The sequence below is a fragment of the Homo sapiens genome, chromosome 2 (assembly GCF_000001405.40).
Source record: "Homo sapiens chromosome 2, GRCh38.p14 Primary Assembly".
NCBI lineage: Eukaryota > Metazoa > Chordata > Mammalia > Primates > Hominidae > Homo > Homo sapiens.
In genome coordinates, this window is record NC_000002.12 from 113677668 (window position 1) to 113705644 (window position 27977).

A 27977-nucleotide genomic window follows, 5' to 3' on the forward strand; every position below is an offset into this window, starting at 1 on the left:
GAGTGATCCATGACTTCTAGTCTATTCTTTTTTCTACTTCATACTCAGGACTCTGTTTTTTTCATGCTGCCATGAGCAATGCACACTGCCAGGAATAAAGCGAAGTTCTTGGTCCTCTAGAAAGGAAGGGGCATCTTCAGTATGAAAAGTCATCATCCTTAAAGAGTGGCATCAAGTACCAAATGCAAGTGTAAGGGTCATTCACTTGCTTCATACCACATATAAACACATTTTTAGTTTCAACATTTTTGTTTTTATTTTTGTTTTTGCAACCTTTGCTTCTTTCCAATAACTCAGGCAAGGCTCAGCCATTCCTATCCATCCTCCCCACACTTGCATACCCAATTCCCAACTATGGTTGGAGGAGGCCAACAGGCCTTATTCGGGCTGGAGACTGAATGCTACACCCACAGCAGTGGGTTGTGAACCTCCTCACGCTATGCCATCCCTTTTCTGTCTGAAGGAAGAGGTCCCAGCAGGTACTAAGCTAGCATCTCCCCTTCCCTGACTGCTCCTAAACCCAGTTTCCCAAAATCCACGTACCCTGCCCAGTTAAATTCTATTCAAACAGGATCCACCAGAAACACATTCAAGATTATTTATGGTATTTTCCTTATTGGAGACTATGAAAAGACATTTCTCTTATTCATTTACTAATTCGACAAACATTTTAGCAGATACCTGTACTATGTGCCAGGCACTGAGCGTACGAGAACAAATAAATGAATCATGAAGAATGTATGCAGGGCTAAGGCAACTATGTAATCCCTTAATAGTTTTTGTATCAGAATCCCCAAAGCAGAACTTTCTCATTCACCAACCTCTCCCCCCACCCCTCCCCCGCCAAACACCAATATTTAACTCAAAGAGCATGTCGTTAATAGCTTTTTAATTAAGAGGAAAGGTTCTTTCAAGGTAAGCTGAATCTTTTGGCTGCAAAAAGGTGTTCTTCTTATAAAAATAAAGAAAACAGCAGGTAGGTCTCTCATATTGATAGAAAGAAGGTTGATGGTGATGTATTCACTGCTTCCTTAATACCAGGAGGAAGGGCTGAATCTAAACTCAAAGTACGTGGAATGTTTTGATGTGAGAAGAGAGCAAAACATGTAAGACTCCATCAAAAATCCCATTTGGAGGAGCTCAGAGGAGCAAGACATTTCTCCAAGACTCAGGTGCACAGCTAACACATCTGAATGAATTAACTCGGCTATGCATATTTTTCTTCCTCTCTTATTCCTAATGAATTCATTCATTTTGAAAATTTAATGACCCTAACTTAGTAGTGTTAAGCCAGGCTTCTAGAATGTTCCCTAGTATTCCAAAGCTCCTTCCTTGCTAATTGTAAAAAAGTTTCCTTTTCAATTTATAAAAAGAGACATCTTGGCTTCTCATTTGTGCAAATATGTAATTTTCGAGTGAGGAAACTGAGACCCAGAGTGATTTGCTTAAGAGTACACAGCTAATTAGCTCTAGATCCAAGACCTAAGCCTCTTAACTACAAATTGAGAATTACACTTAAAGAAGTCCATTCCATAACTGTATTCCTTGAAATTTACATAATAGCCTACCAATTATTAAGGGTCTATTATGTACTAGGTACTTTACATATTTTTTTCTTTTAAGCCTCAAGTAAAACCTCCAAGATAGGGGTAATTAATGGATGCTGTTGAAGTGTTTAAATAATACCATTATATAGCACTTAGGGTGTACTGAATACTTCCTACATATTATCTCCAATTTTCACAAAAACCCTGCAAAGTATCATCAACCTTGTTTTATAGATACGAGACCTGGGTCTCGGAGGGATAAAGCAACTTGCGAAGCTCACGCAGCTCGGACATGAGTAGGGCTGCATCCAGATCTCAAAGCCTGTGTGCTACCCCTGAAATGCTGCCCATGTAGGCAGCCATAGACCTATCTCAGCCCAAATAAATAGCATCAAAGACTCTTTCTCTCAGCGGGCCTATTGTACACCATAGAAACACTCCCCAGCATGAGGTAGCTAACTAGAGTGATGGTGCAACTGATAAGGTAGGTGACACTTCCAGGCAGGGCCGAGCTCTCAGCATAGTAGTGCCATGTAAGGGGACCTTGCATTATGTTTCTATCTGGGCCTTGGCTTGTCAGAGTCTGGAATTTCACGCTAACATTTCATTTAGGGGTGGCCGGTATCCTTAAATTTTGTTTAATTTTAGCTGTATCACAAAACAACAATTATATAATGATTATAACGATGATGATGCTGATAACTACCATTTATTGAGTCCTATGTCATATGATGTGCTTTATGTACTTTGTCTCTAATTACTATGGAGATTGACTTACCTACCTAAAATGAAGCCCATTTCTCTTTCAGGACACATCCCCCTGTTGAATTGTGGTGTTTAAGAGATTTTTTTTCAGAACTGTTGCAGACAGAGGTGAGTTCCTATCTCCTTCTGCAATTACCTGCTGAATATCCTTGAGTGAGAGGTCATTGCCATAAAAATAACTTGCCAAAAGTTAATTTTCCTTATGCATAAGTCGTTGTTTTAGTCTGTTCAAGCTGCTATAACAAAATGCCATAAGCAGAAATTAGTTACTCATGGTCCTAGAGGCTGGAAGTGCAAAGTCAAGACATTGGCAGATTTGGAGTCTGGTGAGGGTCTGCTTCCTGGATCATAGATGGCTGTCTTTCTGTGTTTTCACATGGTAAAAGGGGTGAGGAATCTTTCTGGGGTCTCTTTTCTAAGAGGCCACTCATAGATGGCTGTCTTTCTGTGTTTTCACATGGTAAAAGGGGTGAGGAATCTTTCTGGGGTCTCTTTTCTAAGAGGCCACTTGCTCTTTTAAATAAGGGTTCCACATTGTTGCCAAGTGTACAAAAATAGCAGAAAAGCTAAAATCAAAATGTTGGACTAAGATTAGATGCAGGAAAAGATGTAGACAGGACGTAAAAAAAACAAGTATGTAGAGTCATGAATGGCTCAAAGTCAGACACAACAGCATCACAAATAACAGTCTAAACACTGGTCATCTCTGAGATGTCTTCCACAGATTAATCTCACCCATTGCATACAGATGCTTCCATTTTATCTTAACATTTCGAGGTGATTCATTTTATTTTGAGGACCTACGTGCCATTCATTTTCTTCCACAGCTGCACCAACATACACACACATGCTCAAACATTAGTCTCAACCAAAAATTATATACACAAACAGACTGAAGCTGGGGATGCAGTCAGTCAGCCAGAAGTTGTTTGGTAAATTATCTATTCATTTGGAAGAAAAACAAAGTTAGATCCCTATCTCAAGCTACTGAATGAACAAAATTAAAACTCCAAAATGTAAACATTAAAAAAAACTATAAACATACCAGAGATGATACTTCAAGTTAGAGCAGCCTAAAAAGGTGGACAAATCCTCTCCCCGCCAAAACAAATATAAAAGTATAAAGTTGTTTTGCTCACTTCAGCAGCACGTGAACTAAAATTGGAATGATACAGAGAAGATTAGCATGGCCCCTGCACAAGGATGACACACAAATTCATGAAGCATTTCATTTTAAAAATAAGTATAAAATTGTTTAAACAAGCGTTTTAGGACTGGAAATCAACCAAAAGCAAATAATAAACTAAAAAGGGTCTATTCATGAAATCTACCCAAATGTCATATAAGAACAGCAAGAGTCTGAACTTACTGATTATTTCCTTCTATCATCTCACATCTATAGACATAGATAGATGAGTAGAAATTATCCTTTCTGCAGCCAGGCGAGGTGGTTCACACCTGTAATCCCTGCACTTTGGGAGGCCGAGGCAGGTGGATCACCTGAGGTCAGGAGTTCGAGACCAGCCTGGCCAACAATGATGAAACCCCACCTCTACTAAAAATACAAAAATTAGTCGGGCATGATGGCGGGTGCCTGTAATCCCAGCTACTTGGGAGGCTGAGGCAGGAGAATCACTTGAACACAAGAGGCAGAGGTTGCAGTGAGCCAAGATAGTGCCACTGCATTGTGGGCGACAAGAGCAAAACTCTACCTCAAAAAAAAGAAAGAAAGAAAGAAAGAAAAATTATCCTTTCTGAAGAACACAGAGAAAAAAGGCTGGAGAAAAATGATCAGAGCCTCAGAGACCTCTGGGACAACATCAAGCACACAAACATACATATAATAGGAGTCCTGAAGGGGAGGAGAGCAGAAAAAAGGTTAAAAAAATTTTTTTTGAAGAAATAATGCCCTGAAAACCTCCCAACTATGCTGAAAAACATTAATCAGCAGGTTCAAGAAGCCCCACAAACCTAGGTAAGAAAAACACAAAGAGATTTGCACATCATAGTTAAATTGCTAAAAGCCAAAGCAATTTAAAAATCTTGAATGCAGTAAGAGAAAAATAACTCCCATGTACAGAAGAACAACAACATATTTAACAGCTGAGTTTCCATCAGAATCAATAGAGGCCAAAAGGCAGTAGAACAACATATTCAAAAGACTCAAAGAAAACAGTGTCAACCAATATGTCCAGCAAAATCCAGCATATAAACAGAACCAAAGACAAAAACCACATGATTATCTCAATAAATGCAGAAAAGGCCTTTGACAAAATTCAACAGCACTTCATGCTAAAAACGCTCAATAAATTAGGTATTGATGGGACGTATCTAAAAATAATAAGAGCTATCTATGACAAACCCACAGCCAATATCATACTGAATGGGCAAAAACTGGAAGCATTCCCTTTGAAAACTGGCACAAGACACGGATGCCCTCTCTCACCACTCCTAGTCAACATAGTTCTGGCCAGGGCAATCAGGCAGGAGAAAGAAATAAAAGGTATTCAATTAGGAAAAGAGGAAGTCAAATTGTCCCTGTTTGCAGATGACATGATTGTATATCTAGAAAACCCCATCGTCTCAACCCAAAATCTCCTTAAGCTGATAAGCAACTTCAGCAAAGTCTCAGGATACAAAATCAATGTGCAAAAATCACAAGCATTCCTATACACCAATAACAGACAAACAGAGAGCCAAATCATGACTGAACTCCCATTCACAATTGCTTCAAAGAAAATAAAATACCTAGGAATCCAACTCACAAGGGACGTGAAGGACCTCTTCAAGGAGCACTACAAACCACTGCTCAATGAAATAAAAGAGGATACAAACAAATGGAAGAACATTCCATGCTCATGGATAGGAAGAATCAACATCATGAAAATGGCCATACTGCCCAAGGTAATTTATAGATTCAGTGCCATCCCCATCAAGCTACCAATGATTTTCTTCACAGACTTGGAAAAAACTACTTTAAATTTTATATGGAACCAAAAAAGAGCCTGCATTGCCAAGTCAATCCTAAGCCAGAAGAACAAAGCTGGATGCATCCCACTACCTGACTTCAAACTACACTACAAGGCTACAGTAACCAAAACAGCATGGTACCAGTACCAAAACAGAGATATAGACCAATGGAACAGAACAGAGCCCTCAGAAATAATGCCACACATCTACAACTATCTGATCTTTGACAAACCTGACAAAAACAAGAAATGGGAAAAGGATTCCCTATTCAACAAATAGTGCTGGGAAAACTGGCTAGCCTTATGTAGAAAGCTGAAACTGGATCCCTTCCTTACACCTTATACAAAAATTAATTCAAGATGGATTAAAGACTTAAATGTTAGACCTAAAACCATCAAAACCCTAGTAGAAAACCTAGGCAGTACCATTCAGGACATAGGCATAGGCAAGGACTACATCCCTAAAACACCAAAAGCAATGGCAACAAAAGCCACAATTGACAAATAGGATCTAATTAAACTAAAGAGCTTCTGCACAGCAAAAGAAACTACCATCAGAGTGAACAGGCAACCTACAGAATGGGAGAAAATTTTTACAATCTACCCATCTGACAAAGTGCTAATATCCAGAATCTACAAAGAACTCAAACAAATTTACAAGAAAAAAAACCCCCATCAACAAGTCGGCAAAGGATATGAACAGACACTTCTGAAAAGAAGACATTTATGCAGCCAAAACACACATGAAAAAATGCTCACCATCACTGGCCATCAGAGAAATGCAAATCAAATCCACAATGAGATACCATCTCACACCAGTTAGAATGGCAATCATTAAAAAGTCAGGAAACAACAGGTGCTGGAGAGGATGTGGAGAAATAGGAACACTTCTACACTGTTGGTGGGAATGTAAACTAGTTCAACCATTGTGGAAGTCGGTGTGGCGATTCCTCAGGGATCTAGAACTAGAAAAACCATTTGACCCAGCCATCCCATTACTGGGTATATACCCAAAGGACTATAAATCATGCTGCTATAAAGACACATGCACACGTATGTTTATTGTGGCACTATTCATAATAGCAAAGACTTAGAACCAACCCAAATGTCCAACAATGATAGACTGGATGAAGAAAATGTGGCACATATACACCATGGAATACTATGCAGCCAGAAAAAATGATGAGTTCATGTCCTTTGTAGGGATATGTATGAAGCTGGAAACCATCATTCTCAGCAAACTATTGCAAGGACAAAAAACCAAACACCGCATGTTCTCATTCATAGGTGGGAATTGAACAACGAGAACCCTTGGACACAGGAAGGGGAACATCACACACCGGGGCCTGTTGTGGGGTGGGGGGAGGGGGGAGGGATAGCATTGGGAGATATACCTAATATAAATGACGAAAGTTAATGGGTGCAGCACACCAACATGGCACATGTATACATATGTAACAAACCTGCATGTTGTGCACATGTACCCTATAACTTAAAGTATAATAAAAAATATATATATATATATAAAGAAGCTAAAATAAATTCATTCAAAGATATACAAAAACAGGCCGGGCACAGCAGCTCACGCCTGTTATCCCAGCATTTCGGGAGGTCGAGGCGGATGGGTCACTTGAGCTCAGAGTTTGGGATCAGCCTCGCCAACATCTCTACAAAAAATACAAAAATTAGCTGGGCGTGGTGGCAGTCACCTATAGTCCCAGCTACTCTGCAGGCTGAGGCACAAGAATCACTTCAACTCCGGAGGTGGAGGTTGCAGTGAGCCAAGATCGTGCCACTGCACTCCAGCCTGGGTGACAGAGCGAGATTCTGCTCAAAAGAAAGATGAACAAAAACAGAATCTGTAGCTAGCAGAACTGTCCCATGAGAAATACTAAAGGAAGACTTTCAGGTTGAAAGAAAATGGTACCAGGAAATGAATCCGCAGAAAGAAATGAAGAGCAATGGAAATGATAAATATGTGGGTTAGCATAAAAGGCTGTATGAACAGGTTTTTTTCTCTTTTTTTATATGAGTTTGTTTTAAATGTTCTGTTTAAATATATATTTATAGATTATGTAAGTTCATATGATATATAAATATATATACATTTGTTAATATAAGATAGTTTAAAATGTTTGTTTAAATATTATATGACTGCATAAGGCAATCACTCTATCACTGTTCTGTCGGATTTATGGCATATATAGGTATAATAAATATAGCATTAATGGCTCAAAGAATGGGGAAATGGAGCTATATTAGAACAAAGTTGTTATATTTTTCAAAATTCCCAGCATTAAGCTAAAGTAGATTGTGATATGATATGTATTATAATCCCTAGAGTAACCACAAAGAAAATTAAATTTCAAAATAGTTAATAAAATAACCTAGGACTTAAAATGTCTCACACTTAAAAAAAAAAAAGGATGTGTTTAACACAAGAGAAGGCAGCAAAATAGGATGGGGGAAAAAGACATGGGACATACAAAAACAAATAGTAAAATGGCAGATGCAAATCCAAAGATATCAACAATTAAATGTAATGGATTAAACACTGCAATCAAAAGGCAGTCATTATCAACATGTACGAAAAAGCACGGTCCAATACAGTCATGTGCTACACCATGACATTTCAGTCAATGACAGGCCGCATATAGGACGGTGGTCCCATAGGATTATAAAGAAGCTGAAAAATTTCTGTTGCCTCGTGATGTCGTATCTGTGGTAATGCTGCAGCACAAAGCATTACTCATGAGTCTCTGGTGAAGCTGGTGTAAACAAATCTACTACCAGTCATATAAAAGTATAGCCCACATAATTATAGTGGCAGTCTCTAATGCTTGATAAAGACAATAAATGACTACGCTACTGGTTTATGTATACACCGTACTATACCTTTTTTTGTTGTTATTTTAGAGTGTACACCTACTTATTTTTTTTAACTGTAGAGCAGCCTCAGGCAGGTCCTTCAGGAGATATTCCCAAAGAAATTATTGCTGTCATAGGAAGTGACAGCTCCGTCCATGTTACTGACCCTGAAGACCTTCCAGTGGGACAAGATGTGGAGGTGGGAAACAGTGATATTGATGATCCTGACCCTCCGTGTACAGCCCTAGACTAATGTGTGTGTTTGTCTCTTCGTTTTTAACAAAGAAGTTTGAAAAGTAGGAAAAGAAATTACAAATTTTAAAAATAAAAATTGAATAAGGCTATAAAGAAAGAAAATACTTTTGTACAGCTGTACAATATATGCTTTAAGCTAAGTGTTATTGCAAAAAAGTCAAAAAGTTAAAATATTAAAAAGGATAAAAGCCAAGCTTGGTGGCTCATGCCTGTAATCCCTGCACTTTGGGAGGCCGAGGTGGGCAGATCACAAGGTCAGGAGATTGAGATTATCCTGGCCAACATGGTGAAACCCCATCTCTACTAAAAATACAAAAATTAGCTGGGAGTGGCGGCACGTGCCTGTAATTCCAGCTACTCAGGAGGCTGAGGCAGGAGAATCGCTTGAACCCAGGAGGCAGAGGCTGCAGTGAGCCAAGATCACACCACTGCACTCCAGCTTGGCAACAGAGCTAGACTCTGCCTCAAAAAAATAAAAGGGTATAAATTTAAAAAGTTGTAGTATGTAATGTTATTTTATTATCGAAGAAAGAAAACCATTTTTAATAAATTAAGTGTAGCCTAAGTGTACACAGTGTGTATAAAGTCTGCAGTAGGGTACAGTAATGTCCTAGGCATTCACATTCAATTACCATTCACTCACTGACTCACCCAAAGCAACTTTAGTCCTACAAGCTCCATTCATGGTAAGTGCTCTATACAGGTGTTACATTTTTTATCTTTTATATCATATTTTTACTCTATCTCTTCTATCTTTAGAAATGTTTATATACACAAATAGTCATGATTATGTTACAATTTCCTGCAGTGTTGAGTACAGTAACATGCCGTACAGGTTTGTAGCCTAGGATCACTAGGTTATACCCTATAGTCTAGGTGTGTAGCAGGCTATACCATCTAGGTTTCTGGAAAGGTACATTTCTCAAAACATCCCTGTCGTTAATTGACACATGACTACATAAGCTGCCTTCAAGAAAAGCACTTTTAATTCAGACAAAAGTAGTTACAAAGTAAAAGAATGGGGAAAATATAGCTGGCTCATGCCTGTAATCCCAGCACTTTGGGAGGACCAGGTGGGCGAATCGTTTGAAGTCAGGAGTTCGAGACCAGCCTGGCCAACATGGTGAAACCCCATCTCTACTAAAAATACAAAAATTAGCTGGGCCTGGTGGTGCACACTTGTAATCTCAGCTACTCAAGATGCAGGAGGCTGAGGCAAGAGAATCGCTTGAACGTGGGAGGCGGAGGTTGCAGTGAGCTGAGATTGCACCAGTGCACTCCAGCCTGGGTGACAGAGAGAGACTCTGTCTCAAAAAAAAAAAAAAAAAAAAAAGAATGGAGAAAATATATGTAAATCATACAAAATGTTACCATAAGGGAGTTGAAGTACTTATGTTAATATCAGAAAAAAAATAGAATTTAAATCAAGAAATATTGGTAGGGATAAATAGCAACAATATTTCATAATGATAAAAGTATCAAAACATCAGAAACATAAAACAATTATAAAGACATAGGCATTGAATAACACATACATGCAGCAAACACTGACAGAATGGAAAGGAGAAATGGACAATTTAGTAATTGTAATTAGAAATTTTAAGTCCCTTCTCTAAGTAACTGATAGAATGGCTAGGCATAAAATGAATAAGGATATATAAATCTTGCACAACTGTCAACCAACTTTACCCAGCTAACATATAGAATGCTCCCACCCAACAGCAGGGTATACAGTCCTTTCACATCCACATGGAACATTTTCCAGGATAGAGCCTTTGCTGGATCACAAAACTAGTCTCAATAAACTTAAAAGGATTGAAGTCATCTGAAGTATGTCCTCCAACTCTGATGGAACTAAATTGAAAATTAACGACAGAAAGAAATTTGGTAAACCCTCAAACATTTGAAAAACATACTTCTAAATAACCACAGAGGCCAGGAGCGGTGGCTCATGCCTGTAATTCCAACAATTTGGGAGGCTGAGGAGGGTAGATTACCTGAGGTGAGGAGTTCGAGACCAGCCTGGCCAACATGGCGAAACCCCATATCTACTAAAAATACAAAAATTAGCCAGCATGGTGGCACACACCTGTAGTCGCAGCTACTCAGGAACCTGAGGCAGGAGAATTACTTGAACTGGGAGGCAGAGGTTGCAGTGAGCTGAGACTGAGCCACTGCACTCCAGTCTGGAAGACAGCATGAGACTCCATCTGTGAAACCCCGTATCTACTAAAAATACAAAAATTATCTGGCGTGGTGGCACACGCCTGTAGTCACAGCTACTCAGGAGGCTGAGGCAGGAGAATCACTTGAACCTGGGAAGTGGATGCTGCAGTGAGCCGAGGTCGTGCCATTGCACTCCTGTCTGGCCAATAAGAGCAAAACACCATCCCCCCAAAATAAAATAATAAATAAATAAATAATTTAATAACCATGGGTCAAAGAAAAAAAATCATAAGGTTAATTAGAAAACATTTCAAACTGAATGAAAACAAAACCACTGAAATCTCTGAGGGTAGCTAATGCAAGGCCTAAAAGAAAGTTTATAGCTTTAAATGCTTAAATTAGAAGGAAGAAAGATCTATAATCCATAATCTAATCTTTCACTTCAAAAGGTAGAAAAAGAAGGGCAAATTAAACCCAAAGTAAATTGAAGGAAACAATAGCAATCAAAATACAAATCAATAAAATAAAAACAGTAAGGAAGAAAGTCAAAAGCTGATTATTTGAAAAGAGAAATACAGTTGATAAAATTTTCTCTAGACTGACAAAGAAAAAAAGAAATAAGACATAAATTATGAAAATCAGGAATGAAAAGGGAATGTAGCTACTGACCCTACAGAAAGAATTTTAAGAGAATCCTATGAACAGCTTTATGCCAGCAAATTACACAACATAGATGAAATGTATAAATTCCTAGAAAGACAAAAATTACCAAAACTGACTCAATCAGAAATTTAAAATCTGAGGAGACTGATAACAAATAAGAAATTGAATTAGTAACTTAAAATCTTCCCACAAAAAAAAACTCTAGGCCCAGATGACTTTACTGGTCAATTGTATCCAATATTTAAGGAAGCAATCTTGCCAATCCTATACAAACTCTTCAGAAAATCTGTGTATTTGTTTATGAGGGCTGCCATAACAAAGTACTGCACTATGTGGCTTAAACTATGGAAATTTATTGTCTCACAGTTCTAGAGGCTACAAGTCCAAGACCAAGGTGTTGGTAGGTTGGTTCCTTCCAAGGACTGTGAGGGAAGGGTCTGTTCCAGGCCTCTTTCATTGGCTTGCAGAGTCATCTTCCGCCTGTCTTCACATTCTCTCCCCTCTGTCTGTGTCCAAATTTCCCCTTCTTACAAGGACACCAGTCGTATTGGATTGGGACCCACCTTAAAGACCTCATTTTAACTTGATTACCTCTATAGAAACCTTATCTCCAAATAAGAGCACATTCTGAGGCACTGGCACTTAGCATTTTAACGTATACATTTGGGAAGGAGGGCACAGTTCAACCGATACCAATAGGTGAGGAAGAAATATTTCCTAACTCATTTGATGAGGCCAGTATCACTACCCAGATACCAACACAATACAAAGATATCAGAAGTAGGAAAAACTATCAACTAAAATCTCTCATAAAAATAGATGCAAAAACTCTTTAAAAATAATACTAGCAAACTGAATACATAAACATATATTTTTAAGTACACACCATGACAAAGTGGGAATTACCCCAGGAAAGTAAGGTTAGATTAGCATCTTAAAATATATTAATATTACATACCATATTAATAGAATAAAGAATAAAAATCGCATGATTATGTCAATATAGGAAAATCATTTGACAAAATCCATGATAAAATAAAAAGAACTTTCCACAAAGTAGAAAAAAGCAGAACTTCTTCAACCTTATAAAGAGCTTTTCTCAAGAAACCTGTATCTATGTGATATTTGATGGTGAAAGACTGAGATCAGAAACAAGACAAGCATGTCCATTCTTAACACTTCTATTGAAAATTTTACTGAAAGTTATAGCCAGGGATAGACCAGAAAAAAATAATAAAAGGCATCCAGACTGGGAAAAAAAGAAATAAAACTGTCCTTAATCACAGAAGATGTGTGTAGAAAATCTGATGGAATCTATTTTAAAAAACTTGCTAGAACTAATGAGTAAGTTTAGGAAGGTTGCAGGATATAAAACCAATATAAAAAATCAATTGTATTTGATATGCTAGCAATGAACAATCTAAAATGATATTAAGGAAAAAAATTGCACTCACAATACAATAAAAAATAATAAAACACTTGGGAAAATATCAACAAAAGAAGTGTAAGACTCATACACTGAGAATTTCGAAACAATGTTTTGTGAATATCTAAATAAATGGAGAAATATGTTATGTTCCTGGGTCAGAAAACTCAGTATTGTTCAGATGGCAATTCTACCCAAATTTACCTACAAATTCAAATGCAATCCCTACCAAAACTCCAGTTAGGATTTTGTAGAAATTAGCAAGTTGATTCCAAAATATATATTAAGATGCAAAGGATGTAGACTAGCCAATGTAAGTTTGAAAAAAAACCCACAATTCATATTACTTCACTTCAAAATTTACTGTAAAACTAGAGTAATCAACTCAGGGCGGTATTGGCATACAGACAGACATGTTGGTCAATGGAACAGAATAGAGAGTACAAAAATAAACCTTTACATTTATGGACAATTGATTTTTGACAGTGGTGCAAAGGCAATCCCCGTAGAAAAGACAGCTTTTTTTCAACAGATAATGTTTATTGATATGGTTTGGCTGTGTCCCCACACAGATTTCATCTTGAATTATAGTTTTCATAATCCCCATGTGTCATGGGAGGGACCCGGTGGGAGGTAATTGAATCATGGGGGCAGTTACCCTCATGCTGTTCTCATGATAGTGAGTGAGTTCTCATGAGATCTGGTGGTTTTATAAGGGCCTTTCCCCTTTTTGCTTGACACTTCTCCTTGCTGCCACCACGTGAAGAAGGATGTGTTTGCTTCCCTTTCTACCAGATTGTAAGTTTCCTGAGGCCTCCCCAGCCATGCTGAACTGAGTCAATTAAACCTCTTTCCATTATAAATTACCTAATCTTTGGTATGTCTTTATTAGCAGCGTAAGAATGGACTAATATAGAATTGAATTGATATACAATAAATGACTTTAGACCTTTATCTCACATCATACACAAAATTATTATTTTTTGCCTTTTTAATTTGTATTTTTATTTAATATTTTTTATTTCAATAGCTTTTGGGGTACAAGTGGTTTTTGGTTGCATGGATGAATTGTACAGTGATGAAATCTGAGATTTTAATGCAAGCGTCACCTGAGTAATATACGTTGTACCAAATATGTAGCTTTTTGTCACTTGCCCTCCCTCCTACCCTCCCCCTTCTGAGTCTCCATAGTCCATTATATCACTCTGTATGCCTTTGCATACCCATAGCTTAGCTCCCACTGGTAAGCGAGAACATGCAATATTTGGCTTTCTATTCCTGAGTTATTTCACTTAGAATTATGGCCGCCGGCTCCATCAAAGTTGCTGCAGAAAACATTATTTTATTCTTGCTTATGGCTGAGTCGTATTTATGGTATATATATACCTTATTTTCCTTATCCACTTATTGGTTGATGAGCACTTAGGTTAGTTCCTTATCTTTGCAGTTGTGAATTGTGCTGCAATGAATATATGCATGCAGGTGTCTTTTTTATAATGATTTTTTTTCCTTTGGGTAGATACTCAGAAATGGGATTGTTGGATCGAATGGTAGCTCTACTTTTAATTTTTAAAGAAATCTCCATACTGTTTTCTATAGAGGTTGTACTAATTTACATTCCCACCAGCAGATATACACAAAAATTAATTTAAATGGACCATAAGCTTCCATGTAAGAACTAAAACTATAAAACTTCTTTAAAAGATAGAAGAAAAATCTTTGTGGCCTTGAATTAGGTAAAAAAAAGATTTTTAGATTTGACATCAAAAATATGATTCATAAAAGAAAATATTGATAAATTATACTTCAACAAAATTTAAAACTTTTCTTCTTCAAAAGACAGCATTAAGAAAGTAAACAGATAAACTATACACTTGGAGAAAATATTTGCAAATGGTTTATTTGATCAAGGATTTATATACAGATAATGCAAAGAATTTGAACAGCTCAATAGTTAGAAGCTAATTAAAAATGTGTAAAGGATTTTAGTAGACATATCACCTAAGAAGATATATAAATGGCTAACACATGAAAAATGTTCCAAATAATTAATCATTAGGGAAATGCAACTAAAACCAGAATAACGTACATTCAGTTCATACCCACTAAAATGCCTATAATTAAGAGATTGACAATACCAAGTATTGACAAGTATGTGTTGGTAAGATTTTAAAATGACATAGTCATTTGGAAAATAGTTTGAAAGTGTGTTAAAAAGTTAAACCTGTACTTAACAAACGATCCATCAATTTCACTCCTAAGTATCTATGAAGAGAATTGAAGGTTTATGTCTACCTAAAAGCGTACATGGGGGTGTTTGAAGCCACATTATTCATAATAAGTAAAAACTGAAAATAATTCAAATATCCATTAACTGGTGCATAGATAAAGTAAACTATCCATTAACTGGTGCATAGTAGATCTGTACAATGGAATCCCTAGCAGCAGCGAACCAAGGCTTCAAAGTTCCCTAGTGGTTTCTTTGCCCTCACTGCTGCATGCCACAAAAAGACCATGCTATGAAAAGACCAACATCTCCAAGCATAGCTGTAGATGACTTTGCTTTCACTTCTGGTTACAACTGAACTTACTCATTCTTTGTCTTCTAAAGAAGCCATTCATTTCTTGAGAACTTTTCTGGTGTTTGGTTCCAGAATCTGTCTTTTAGATGACAATTTTTTTTCTTCAGAGTTAGACACAGACTCCATGGCATTTTACTATATTTATAGCGTATTTTTATTATAGTTATGAAATCAGTTTTTTTCTTTTTAATGGAGTTCTTTTTCAAGTTTGATTTTTTCTTTTTTCTTTTCTTTTTTTTTTGTGTGTGTGTTTGTTTGTTGAGACAGGGTTTCACTCTGTCACCTAGGCTGGAGTGCAGTGGCATGACCTCAGCTCACTGCAACCTCCACCTCCTGGGTTCAAGCCATTCTCCTACCTTAGCCTCCAGAGTAGCTGGGACTAGAGGTAGGCACCACTACGCCTGGCTAATTTTTGTATTTTTTTGTAGAGACAGGGTTTCACCATGTTGGTCAGGCTGGTCTTGAACCCCTGACCTCAAGTGATCCACCCACCTTGGCCTTCCAAAATGCTGGGATTACAGGCGTGAGCTACTATGCCCAGCCCCGAATTTGATTTTATTATACCAATATTATCTTCTCCCCCTCCCACAGTTCCCCAAACACTTCTCTACACACTCTGGTCTGGCACAGTTTCAAATTTGTGGAGTTGATATCTGGGGCTCCTACTGGAAGGAGGATAAAAACAGAAGGAATTTGGCACGGGGCTCCTCCATCTTCCACGCATGCGGCATTTGTTCTGAGAATGTCAGCTCCCTCACAGTGCATGTCAGAATGGCATGCCAGCATGGGCCTCTGGTCTAGCACACAGAAAGGGTGAAGAGTACACATGGTGACCATTGTCACTTTGCAGATTTCCTGCCTCCCACTCACATGTCTGAGACCAGTTTTGCTACTGTTGCACCGCTAACCACAGAAGCCAGAAAGGGAAACGACTTTCTTTCTTTTCTTCTTTTTTTTTTTTTTTTTTTGAGATGGAGTCTCACTTTGTCGCCAGGCTGGAGTGCAGTGGCACGATCTCGGCTCACCGCAACCTCCAACTCCCTGGTTCAAGCTATTCTCCTGCCTCAGCCTCCCAAGTAGCTGGGATTACAGGCATGCACCACCACACCCAGCTAATTTGTGTATTTTTAGTAGAGACAGGATTTCACCACGTTGGCCAGGCTGGTCTTGATCTCCTGACTGTGTGATCCACCCGCCTTGGCCTGTCAAAGTGATGAGATTACAGGCGTGAGCCACTGAGCCCAGCCAGGGAAAATAAGTTTTCAATAGAGAATTTTCTATTAAGGAAGAGAGTGTTCTTTCAGCAAAGACAGGCTTTAGCCACACCTGTTTTTATAAGGATTTGAGGGGAGGGAAATATGCCAAGAGACAACTTCAGAAGTTTATAAAGACAAGAGCGACCTCTCCAAAACAGCTAGGAGAGTGGGTCTTTAGTGGTGAGGTCTTCATCTCTGTCTGATCTCTCTAGGCTGAAGGAAAGATGTGAATTTGCTGTGAAGGGATATTCTCCTCAAGGACACTTACCATCTGTTTCCTGGGGATAGGAAGGTAAGTCATCAGTGTCAAGAACCTTACTGGTAAAACAATAAAACAATGTATTCATTCGGATTTGTGCTCTTTAAGTGAGAGGGGTTCTAGAACAGCCTTTCTGTCTGGACCCCTTGATGGTAAACCATCCCGTGTGAGGTCTGCTCTTTACTGTGTGGACGAGGCCAGGGCTGTTATTTGACATCCGTGGCCACAGCCCACAGTCTAACGTCGGCCAGCTCCGGTGTGATTGTACTTAGTACATCAGTAGTCATGAGAAAACTGGCTAAGAAAACACAGAGCTTCAACTGGAACAAAATATTATACGTGCAACACCCATGACCGTGTGGCTGTTTTATCCCCATTGCTCCTTTCTTTTCTGCAGAAGGTTCTTTTTAAATTTTAACGTATATTTGTCCAATTGTTTGGTAATGCATTTCCATGTTTTCAGAAATAGTGAATCAAATCTGGACTGGAACAACACTCCCTCACTTACCTCCTGCACCCAGCGCCTGCCTCGCTGTGGGAATGCCCCATCCTTGGTGTCTTAAAATTTGCAGAGCTTCTTTACTTGTACATAAGACATGTGCATATACAGAGCAAAAATTCTGCATGACCTCACTTACGTGTGGACTCTAAAAATGTCACACTCACAGAAGTGGAGAGTAGAATGATGGTTACCAGAGGCTGGAGGGAGGGGCGGGCAGGGAAAGGGGAGAGGTTGGTCAATGGGTACAAAGTTATCATCAGTTAGAAGGATTAAGTTCTGGTGCTCTATTGCACCGCGTGATGACTATAGTTAATACTAATGTATTGTGTATTTGAAAAGACCTGAAGGAGAGGATTTTCAATGTTCTCACCACAAAGAAATGGTAACTATCGGAGGTGATGGATATGCTAATTAGCCTGGTTGTATCATTCCCCAGTGCATATGTGTATCAAAGCATCACACTGTATCCCATAAATACATGCAATTATTTTTTAATTAAATTTTTTTTAAAACTTAGGCCAGGCTTGGTGGCTCATGCCTATAATCCCAGCACTTTGGGAGGCTGAGGAGGGGGGATCATTTGAGGTCAGGAGTTTGAAACCAGCCTGACCAACACAGGGAAACCCCCTCTGTACTAAAAATACAAACATCAGCCAGGTGTGGTGGCATGTGCCTGTAATCCTAGCTACTCAGGAGGCTGAGGCAGGAGGCTGAGGCGGGAGAATCACTTGAACCCAGGAGGCAGAGGTTTCAGTGAGCCGAGATCACACCACTGTACTCCAGCTTGAGCGACAGAGCGCAGGCTCTGTCTCAAAAAAAAAAAAAACCTAAAAACTTCAAAAATAAATGTGTATCTTATTGTCCCAAATGTTTCACACACCAAAAAACCATTCTTTTCTAAACCTTGTTTTTCTTTTCATTGAACAATAATTTTTGGAGAGCTTTCCAAAGCAGCACATACAGAAATTCATTTTTTGTAGCTCTATAGTATTTTATCTTTGCACAATTTATTTCAAAGCCTCTATTGAGGGACACGTGGACTGTTTACAATGCTTTACTATTATTAAAAAAAAAGAATGCTGCAGTGAATTACCTTACACATATATCTTTTGTGTTGTATCTATGGAATAAATTCCTAGAAATAGAATTGGGAGAGATATACATTTGCAATAAATATCACCAGACTGTCCTTTGTAGGCTTTGGCTTATCACTTTATAGCGTAAAAATTTTTATAAGATATATCCTTACCTCATACCATATAAAAAATTAACTCAAAATGAAACAAAAGCCTACATGTAAGAGAATACACAGGGATAAATCCTGATGATCTCAGATTTGGCAACGGGTTCTTTGTTCTGAGAATCCTGACTCCCTCACAGTGCGTGTCAGAAGCTCAAGCAACAAGAGAAAAACATAGATGAAATGAATTTCAACAAAATTTTAAACTTTTGTGCATTGAAGAACTCTATCAAAAAAGTGAAATGACAACCCACAGAATGAGAGAATATGTTTGCCAACTGTATATGTCTGTTCAGGGTCTGTCTAATATTGTCCTGTGATTTCCCAGATTTTTTTTTTTGAGATGGAGTCTCGCTCTGTTGCCCAGGCGGGAGTGCAGTGGCACGATCTCAGCTCACTGAAACCTCTGCCTCCCATGTTCAAGCCATTCTCCCACCTCAGCCCCCCAATTAGCTGGGATTACAGGCACACGCCACCACACCTGGCTAATTTCTGTATGTTTAGTAGAGATGGGGTTTCACCATTTTGACCAGGCTGGTCTCAAACTCCTGACCTCAAGTGATTTGATCTCAAGTGATCTGCCCGCCTTGGCCTCCCAAAGTGCTGGGATTACAGGCGTGAGCCACTGCGCCTGGCCTTAAATTCTTTATGTCTATTTGGTATCTAGTAACTGCAAGGCCAGCAGACAAGTGTTTACCTCTCTCCTTCAAGAAGGGGCATTCCCCTCCAAGGATGGGGCATTCCCACACTGAGGCAAGGCTGGGTGCAGGAGGCAAGTGAGGGAGACTTGTTCCCGTCCACGTTTGATTCACTGTTTCCAAAAACATGGAAATGCATTATCAAACAATTGTACAAATATACGTCAAGTTGCCTGGAATTCTCCTTTCGTGTGCAGACAGGCTGATCCAAGTCTGTGCCTCCATCTACCTTCTATATAACTCTCACACACCAAACCAATATTTCCCTTATCCTAAATCAACCCAAGGCCAGGTTCCAGGCAACTAGAGACCACCCCCTATAGCCCAGGCTCACCCATGTTATTCAAAGTAGCCAGTCCTAAACTGATGGCCCGGCCCTGCCTTGCCTTTCCTGCAGAAACTCCAGTAAGGGCTGTGGCCCACGCCTTCTCACTCATCTTTTGCCTCTTGACCATCCTAACGCTTTCTCTGTGGCCCTGCGTGTTGTGGCATGTCCCCTCCTCTCAGGAACTGTAAGAAAACTTCTTTCAGTAACATTGGCCTCTCCACATCATCATTCAGTCACTTCCATAAACTAAAATCCTGCTGTTACAATTGAGACAATATATATATTGTCTCAATATATAAAGAACATATAATATATAAAGAATAGTATAATATCTTATATATATATTCCTTATAATATAAAGAATAGTATAATATATAAAGAATAGTCACAACTCAACAATAAAAACACAACCCAAATCAAACATGAGCAAAGATCTTGAACAGACAGTTCTCCAAGGAGGATATACAAATGGCCAGCAAGTCCAGGAAAAAGATGCCCAACACCATTAATCATCAGGGAAATGCAAACCAAAACCACCATGATGCGAACAATATGAATGTCATGAAGGCCGCTGAGCTGTACAATTAAAAATGCCTCAGATAGGCCAGGTGCAGTAGTTCACACCTGTAATCCCCGCTCTTTTGGAGGCCGAAGTGAAAGGATTCCTTGAGCCCAGGAGTTCAAGACCAGCCTGGGCAACATGGGGAGAACCCAGCTCTACAAAAAATAAAAAATTAGCTGGGTGTAGTGGTACATGCCAGTAGTCCCAGCTATTCGGAAGGCTGAGGTGGGAGGATCACTGGGGCCTGGGAGGTTGAGCTGCAGTGAGCTGTGACTGCACCGCTGCACTCCAGCCTGGGCAAGAGTGAGACTGTCTCACAACAACAACGACAGGCTAAAATTATAACTTTCATGTGCTGCCTATTTTACCACAGTAAGAAAACAATCATTAAAGCGTTGTGTTGGTCAGGGTTCTCCAGAGAAATAGAACCAGTAGAATTTGTTTGTTTGCTTGTTTATAAGCTATTGATTGGCTCATCTAGAACCAGAAATAACATTTGACCCAGCAATCCCATTACTGGGTATATTATAAATCATTTTACTATAAAGACACATGCACACGTGTGTTTACTGCAGCACTATTTACAATAGTAAAGATTCGGAACCAACCCAAATGCCCATCAATGACAGACTGGATAAAGAAAATGTGAGACATATATATCATGGAATACTATGCAGCCATGAAAAAGAATGAGTTCATGTCTTTGGAGGGTCATGGATAAAGCTGGAAACCATCATTCTCAGCAAACTAACATAGGAACAAAAAACTAAACACCACATGTCTCACTCATGAGTGGGAGTTGAACAATAAGAACACATGGACACAGGGAGGGGAACATCACACACCAGGGCCTATTGGGGGTGGGGGGAAAGGGGAGGGAGAGCATTAGGAGAAATACCTAATGCATGTGGGGCTTAAAACCTAGTTGACAGGTTGATAGGTGCAGCAAACCACCATGGCACATGTATACCTACGTAGCAAACCTGCATGTTCTATGCATATATCCCAGAATTTAAGTAAAATTAAATTAAATTAAATTAAAAAGATATTGATTGGATACATCATTCTGGAGGCTAAGTCCCGCTGCGAACCACCTGTGAACTGGACCCCCAGGAAAGCCTGTGGTGTCCCAAAGTCCAAGAGGTGGAGAATCAATAGTGTAGATTCTAGTCCAGGTCTTAAGGCCTGAGAACCAGGAGTGGTGAGGGCTGGAGAAGATTGATGTCCCACCTCAGTAGTCAAGCAGAGTTAATTCAACCTTCCTCTGCCTTCTTGTTTTATTCAGGCCCTCGGTAGATTGATAATGCCCACCCATGTTGACCATCTTCTTTACTCAGTCCAACCATTCAAATGTTAATCTTTTCTGGGAACACCCTCACAAACACACCAGAAATAAGGTTTAACCAACCAGCTGGGTATCCCATCACCCAGTCAAGTTGACACATAAGAGTAACTATGTCAAGCATAGACCATAAAAACGAAACCAAAACATCACAGTGATACACCACTTCGACTTACGAGTAAGGCTGTATGAAAACAAGAAAGCCCCTAAAAAACAGAGCATAACTAATGTTGTTGAGGATGTGGAGAAACTGAGACACTCATACATTGCTGGTGGAAAGGAAAAATGGTGCAGCCACTGTAGAACAGCTGGGCAGTTCCTCAAAACATTAAATACTGAGTTACCATTCGATCCAGCAATTCTACTCCCAGGTATATATCCAGGAGAAATAAAAACGTGTCCACACAAAAACTTGAACACGAACATTCGCAGCAGCACTATTCATAATAGCCAAAAGGTGGAAACAACCCGAACACCCAACAACTAGTGAATAGATCAACAAAATATAGTTTGTCCACACAATGGAATATTATTTGGTCATAGAAATAGGCCAGGCGCGGTGGCTCATGCCTGTAATCCCAGCACTTTGGGAGGCTGAGGCGGGTGGATCACTTGAGGTCAGCAGTTCAAGACCAGCCTGGCCAAATGGGGAAACCCCGTCTCTACTAAAAATACAAAAATTAGTCGGGTGTGGTGGCGCATGCCTGTAATCTCAGCTACTCAGGAGGCTGAGGCAGAAGAATCGCCTGAACCCGGGAGGCGGAGGTTGCAGTGAGCCGAGATCAAGCCACTGCACTCCAGCCTGGGCGACAGAGTGAGACTCTATCTCAAAAACAAACAAACAAACAAACAAACAAACAAAAAACCATAAGATTCCAACCTTTTGGGCTCAGCAATTACACTCCCAGAAGTCATGCCTCAAATGCACTTTTCTGTCTTCTAGGTCTTTTCTCCTCTCTGTCCTAATCTCCTCTCCATGCCTCAAGTGATGCCAATAAATGGGTAATAATTCCCTTAAACTCCGTGGAATTAATTTCTTTTTGACTACAGGAATTCACAGTTCAAAACAAAATAACCCCAGATTCCTTAATAAATAGAAACCTTAAAGTTCCTTCTAAAAAGATTCACGGCTATAAAAGTAATAAATGAATCGCCCAAAATATCGCGCTGTGGGTCGGGTTAATAACCCTATTGGACAGGAGCTGGCATTACTCGGTTTGGGCGGCCGAGCCCAGACATCAGCATATGTGCTACCGTAGTACCCTCTTCTGGCCGAATACAAAATCAAGTTTATGGGGCCGCTTTTAGTCAAGTTTTCCATAGCTGCTTACAAGCACCGAGTTTCCTGCGACTTCCTGTTTATCGCCTCTGCTCTCCTCAAGTTCTCAGCTTTTTCTTGCATCAGCTAGGCTTGCCTCCTCCTCCTCAGGGAAGATCAGGATCCCCTGATATTCCTAATCTCAGCTCCCAAGATTTGCCCCTTGCACTACCCTGTTTCCTGGCTGTTTGCACCATAGCCTCCCACCTTGAGTAAGTCTAGTTCCATCTGTTCTCTCTTATCTATCTGCCTCCGTACTGGCCATTTACCATATGCCCACATTGCATCTGGGCCTCTGCACTCATGACCTACCTGCCGTTCCCTCACTCACTGCCCCATCTCACCTGCACTTGCCTGAGCACTCTCCGTTGATTCCTTGATCCAGGGTTTTATAAAATGAGGTCTGTGGACAATCTACATTCTCTCCACCTGGCTGCTTGCTACCTGAGCTCCCTGAATCAGACCTTCTGGAATCCTGGAACCCGCATTTATAATAAATACCCTGAATAATTTTTATGTACATGCACACACATACACACAAACACACACACAACATAAAAACCACCCTGGGCTGGGCACAGTGGCTCACGCCTGTAATCCCAGCACTTTGGGAGACCGAGGCGGGTGGACCATGAGGTCAGGAGATCGAGACCATCCTGGCTAACACGGTGAAACCCCGTCTCTACTAAAAATACAAAAAATTAGCCGGGCGTGGTGGCGGGCGCCTGTGGTCCCAGCTACTCAGGAGGCTGAGGCAGGAGAATGGCGTGAACCCGGGAGGTGAAGCTTGCAGTGAGCTGAGATCGCGCCACTGCACTCCAGCCTGGGCGACAGAGCGAGACTCTGTCTCAAAAAACAACAACAACAACAACAACAACAAACACCCTGATGTTTTTGTTTGTTTGTTTTACTAAGCCATATTATCTTGTCTAGAAACTTGCCATGGCTCCAAGCCATCTAAAGATTTAAATGCAAAAGACTCAGATTGGCTTTCAAGGCTTTTGGTAAATTGTTTTATATATTTTTTGTCCTTTCCTGTAAGAGGATTATATTTCCCCTTTCCCAGGGATGGCAGGCATGGCCAAGTGACTTGCTTTGGCCAATGAAACGTGAACAGCTGTAACATGTGCCACAGTCAAGCGGACACTACGAAAACCATTGAACAGTTCTCCCATATTTTCTTTCCCTTGGCCAGAATTGATGATAACCCAGATCGAAGCTGCTTCTGCAGCCTGACCCCAGAACAAAGGAGCCATGGAGCAGAGCTACAGATACCCACAAGGGAAATGTAATGTAAGAGAGAAATAAGCTTGTAGTATTGCTGTGATTTGGAGAGTCCTTTGTTACTGCAGTTTAACTGCCTAAGCCGACTGATACACAGTATTTCACAATTTGCTTTTCTAACTCTATTTCCCATTATTCCCTAACACTTATTCCAACTCCTGCCAGACTGAACTACTTGCTTTTCCCCAAAGACCAACAAATTTCTCCAACTCGATGCAGTTATTTGCTTCCTATCTCCTGCCTGCCAACAATACCTCTCAAAGTTTAATTTCAACCTTCAAGTTCATCTCAAGCGCTACTTTCTCTGTGCAGGGGTGTCTGATCTTTTGGCTTCCTGGGCCACACATAAGATACACTAACACTAATGATGACTGGTGAGCTAAAAAAAAAAAAAAAAAATCTCATAATGTCTAAAGAGAGTTTATGAATTTGTGTTGGCCCACATGCAGCCTGCGGTACACAAGCTAGACAAGCTTGGTAAAAAGCCCTTCCCCATTCCTTTGATGCCAACTACTGTAACCTATGTTTATTGTTTTTACATATTTTCTTATCACCTCCGCCAAGAAAAAAATCATAAACTCCTTGACATTAAAGACTATCTTATTGGCCAAGTGCAGTCTCTCACACCTGTAATCCCAGCACTTTGGGAGGCCGAGACAGGCGGGATCACTTGAACTCAGGAGTTCGAGACCAGCCTGGCCAACATGGTGAAACTATGTCTACTAAAAATACAAAAATTAACCAAGAATGGTAATGTGCTTCTGTAATCTAAGCTACTTGGGAGGCTGAAGCAGGAGAATCACTTGAAACCCAGGAAGTGGAGGTTGCAGTTAGCCGAGATCACACCACTGCACTCCAGCCTGGGAGACAGAGCAAGACTCTGTCTCAAAAAAAAAAAAAGACTATCTTACTCACCACTGTATTCCTTGAAGCTTTGCAAATAGTAGGTATCCACTCAAATATTTATCAAATTAGCACATTCAATTAGAGAACTGCTGTTTAATATGTTTACTTTTTTACAGGAAGATTTTAAAGAACATTTAACATACTCATTGGGGAAGCAAAATTAAGATACAAGAAGAATTAAAAATCATAGCAAATAGCAAAGATTCCTACTGAGTAAAATATGGGCCAGGCACGGTGGCTCACATCTGTAATCCTAGCACTTTGGGAAGCTAAGGCAGGCAGATTGCTTGAGGCCAGGAGTTCGAGACCAGCCTAGGCAAAATAGCAAGACCTCATTGCTACTAAAAATCAAAAAACTTAGCCAGGCTTGTTGGTGTGCACCTGTAGTCCCAGCAACTTGAGAGGCTGAGGTGGGAGAATCACTTGAGCCCTGGTAGTGGAGGTTGCAATGAGCCAAGATCATGCCACTGTACTCCAGCCTGGGTGACAGAGCAAGACCCCATCTCAAAAAAATAAATAAATAAAAATAAAGTATAACTCAAAGTTTAATGAATCTCTTTCTCTCTCTCTCTCTCTCTCTCTGTAAAAATAAGCATGTCTTGACCTTCATCTCTCTCCCTGGATATACTCAACAGATCTTAAAGTAAAACTTCACCAAAGGGAAACAATGTGTCACACGACTCACGAGTTACAACCCCTATTGTTACAGTCCATATGCTAAAAGCAAGGATTTTTCTAATTATGGAACAAATTAGCTTATGTAAATTCTTAGGCGTAGGAAAAATGTATTTCCCTGCTTATGATTAAAAGCCAACAAAATATAATTCCAATTTTAAAACAAATCCCCTTACCAAACCCCAACAGCAAAGTGCTGCCCCTACAAACCTCACAGCAAATAGAGAGTCCTTATTCTCAGTGACTAGCAGCTGCCTCTTTTCTCACTCCTCTCCAGCTTCAATTAACCTAATGCCCTCTGAGACATTTTGGCAGTAATTGCAAAGCTTCTTCCGGTTTGGGAATCTAATTTAATTAGATTGGCGAGACTTGATTTTAGATGTTTCTCCTCAATACCAATTCAAAACTTAATACTTACTTTGCTTTTGTTTCCTGGTAATAACTGGTTTACGGCCCTGAGAAGAAAAACTGGGGCCAATAAAACAAGCTGGATTAGCCTGGTTCTTCACTGACTCCACAATTGGCCTACCATTTGTGCAAAGTCCACTCCAGGAGAAAAATGCTTTGAAGGTGGGACTCTAACATCCTAATGTGTCCGGACTCAGTGGGTTCTCGGTCTCACTGACTTCCAGAATGAAGCCGTGGCTCCTCGCGGTGAGTGTTACAGTTCTTAAAGGCGGCATGTCCGGAGTTGGTTCCTTCTGATGTTCGGAGTTTCTTCCTTCTGGTGGGTTCGTGGTCTCGCCGGCTCAGGAGTGAAGCTGCGGACCTTCACCGTGAGTGTTACAGCTCATAAAGGCAGTGTGGACCCAAAGAGTGAGCAGCAGCAAGATTTATTGCAAAAAGCGAAAGAACAAAGCTCCCACAGCTCGGTAAGGGAACCCCAGCGAGTCGCCACTGGGGGCTCGGGCAGCCCGCTTTTATTCTCTTATCTGGCCCCACCCACATCCTCTGATTGGTCCATTTTACAGAGAGCGAGTGGTCTGTTTTGACAGGGCGCTGATTGGTGCGTTTACAATCCCTGAGCTAGACACAAAGGTTCTCCAAGTCCCCACCAGAGTCAGGAGCCCAGCCGGCTTCACCCAGCGGATCCCGCACAGGGGCCACAGGTGGAGCTGCCCGCCAGTCCCGCGCCCTGCGCCCGCACTCCTCAGCCCTTGGGTAGTTGATGGGACTGGGCACCGCGGAGCAGGGGGCGCTCTGGCCACACAGGAGCCCACGGAGCTGGGAAGGCTCAGGCATGGCGGGCTGCAGGTCCCGAGCCCTGCCCCGCGGGGAGGCAGCTAAGGCCCGGCGAGAAATCGAGCGCAGCGCCGGTGGGCCGGCACTGCTGGGGGACCCGGCACACCCTCCGCAGCCGCTGGCCCGGGTGCTAAGCCCCTCATTGCCCGGGGCCGGCAGGGCCTGCCGGCCGCTCCGAGTGCGGGGCCCGCCGAGCCCACACCCACCCAGAACTCGCGCTGGCCCGCAAGCACCGCGCGCAGCCCCTGTTCCCGCCCTCGCCTCTCCCTCCACACCTCCCCGCAAGCTGGGGGAGCCGCCTCCGGCCTCGGCCAGCCCAGGAAGGGGCTCCCACAGTGCAGCGGCGGGCTGAAGGGCTCCTCAAGTGCCGTCAAACTGGGAAACCAGGCAGAGGAGGCGGGGAGAGTGAGCGAGGGCTGTGACGGCTGCCAGCACGTTGTCACCTCTCACTAATCCAAAGACTGAAGATTAATTGTTGGCCAATATTGCTTCCTTTGTGGATCCGTATCAGTCTAGTATAGAGAACACTAGACTGACAGTCAGAAAATGTGAATTTTGTCAGCAGCCTAGATGTTAAGAAACATGGGGCATATAAGGGTGGTCAGGTAATTTAATGTCTAAACTATGACACTTTTGAAACTGAAAGGGGCACTATTCATGATTGTCCTAGGACAGCAGGTAGAAACTGGGACTGTCCTTGGCAAACCCGGACACCTGGTCACCCTAGAGACCCTTGAAAAATGATGCTGTGGGCCGGGCGCGGTGGCTCACGCCTATAATCCCAGCACTTTGGGAAGCCAAGGAGGGCGGATCACGAGTTCAAGAGATCGAGACCATCCTGACCAACATGGTGAAACCCCGTCTCTACTAAAAATACAAAAATTAGCTGGGTGTGGTGGCGTGCGCCTGTAGTCCCAGCTACTCGGGAGGCTGAGGCAGGAGAATCGCTTGAGCCCAGGAGGTAGAGGTTGCAGTGACCCGAGATCTCGCCACTGCACTCCAGCTTGGGCGACAGAGCAAGATTCCATCTAAAAAAAAAAAAATGCTGTGATTAGTGAACTGATTTTAAATGTTTATCTCTAAAGGTTAGGATTGACAAATGACTAAGTGACTTTTCAAAATAA

At 40.9% G+C, this 27977-nt stretch overlaps 1 protein-coding gene, 1 long non-coding RNA gene and 1 pseudogene across 5 annotated transcripts in view, besides 4 other annotated features; 1 reads left to right on the forward strand and 2 right to left on the reverse strand.

Moving 5' to 3' along the window:
• Positions 1 to 34: 34 nt before the first annotated feature.
• LINC02936 (long intergenic non-protein coding RNA 2936) lies at positions 35 to 26507 on the reverse strand. The gene is made up of 3 exons (NR_186169.1): positions 26030 to 26507; positions 10494 to 10590; positions 35 to 116 (listed from the first exon to the last, which is right to left on the reverse strand). It is a non-coding gene; the product is annotated as a long intergenic non-protein coding RNA 2936 (long non-coding RNA).
• Positions 3445 to 3547, forward strand: RNU6-744P (RNA, U6 small nuclear 744, pseudogene; annotated as a pseudogene).
• Positions 15774 to 15863: an enhancer, noted in NCBI's record as "active region_16422". NCBI's record gives its function as "activates an Ori minimal core promoter by ATAC-STARR-seq in GM12878 lymphoblastoid cells {active_cell/tissue: GM12878}" and the evidence as "EXISTENCE:reporter gene assay evidence [ECO:0000049][PMID:35858748]".
• Positions 16304 to 16433: an enhancer, noted in NCBI's record as "active region_16423". NCBI's record gives its function as "activates an Ori minimal core promoter by ATAC-STARR-seq in GM12878 lymphoblastoid cells {active_cell/tissue: GM12878}" and the evidence as "EXISTENCE:reporter gene assay evidence [ECO:0000049][PMID:35858748]".
• Positions 17694 to 17743: an enhancer, noted in NCBI's record as "active region_16424". NCBI's record gives its function as "activates an Ori minimal core promoter by ATAC-STARR-seq in GM12878 lymphoblastoid cells {active_cell/tissue: GM12878}" and the evidence as "EXISTENCE:reporter gene assay evidence [ECO:0000049][PMID:35858748]".
• Positions 22793 to 22852: an enhancer, noted in NCBI's record as "active region_16425". NCBI's record gives its function as "activates an Ori minimal core promoter by ATAC-STARR-seq in GM12878 lymphoblastoid cells {active_cell/tissue: GM12878}" and the evidence as "EXISTENCE:reporter gene assay evidence [ECO:0000049][PMID:35858748]".
• The window catches only part of SLC35F5 (solute carrier family 35 member F5), a 53961-nt gene continuing 50998 nt past the window's right edge, over positions 25015 to 27977 (reverse strand). For all 4 annotated transcript variants that reach the window (XM_047445926.1, XM_047445923.1, XM_017005027.2 and 1 more), the window contains one exon: positions 25015 to 27881. The gene's annotated coding sequence lies outside the window, so the exon portion shown is untranslated. The remainder of the gene's footprint in view (positions 27882 to 27977) is intronic.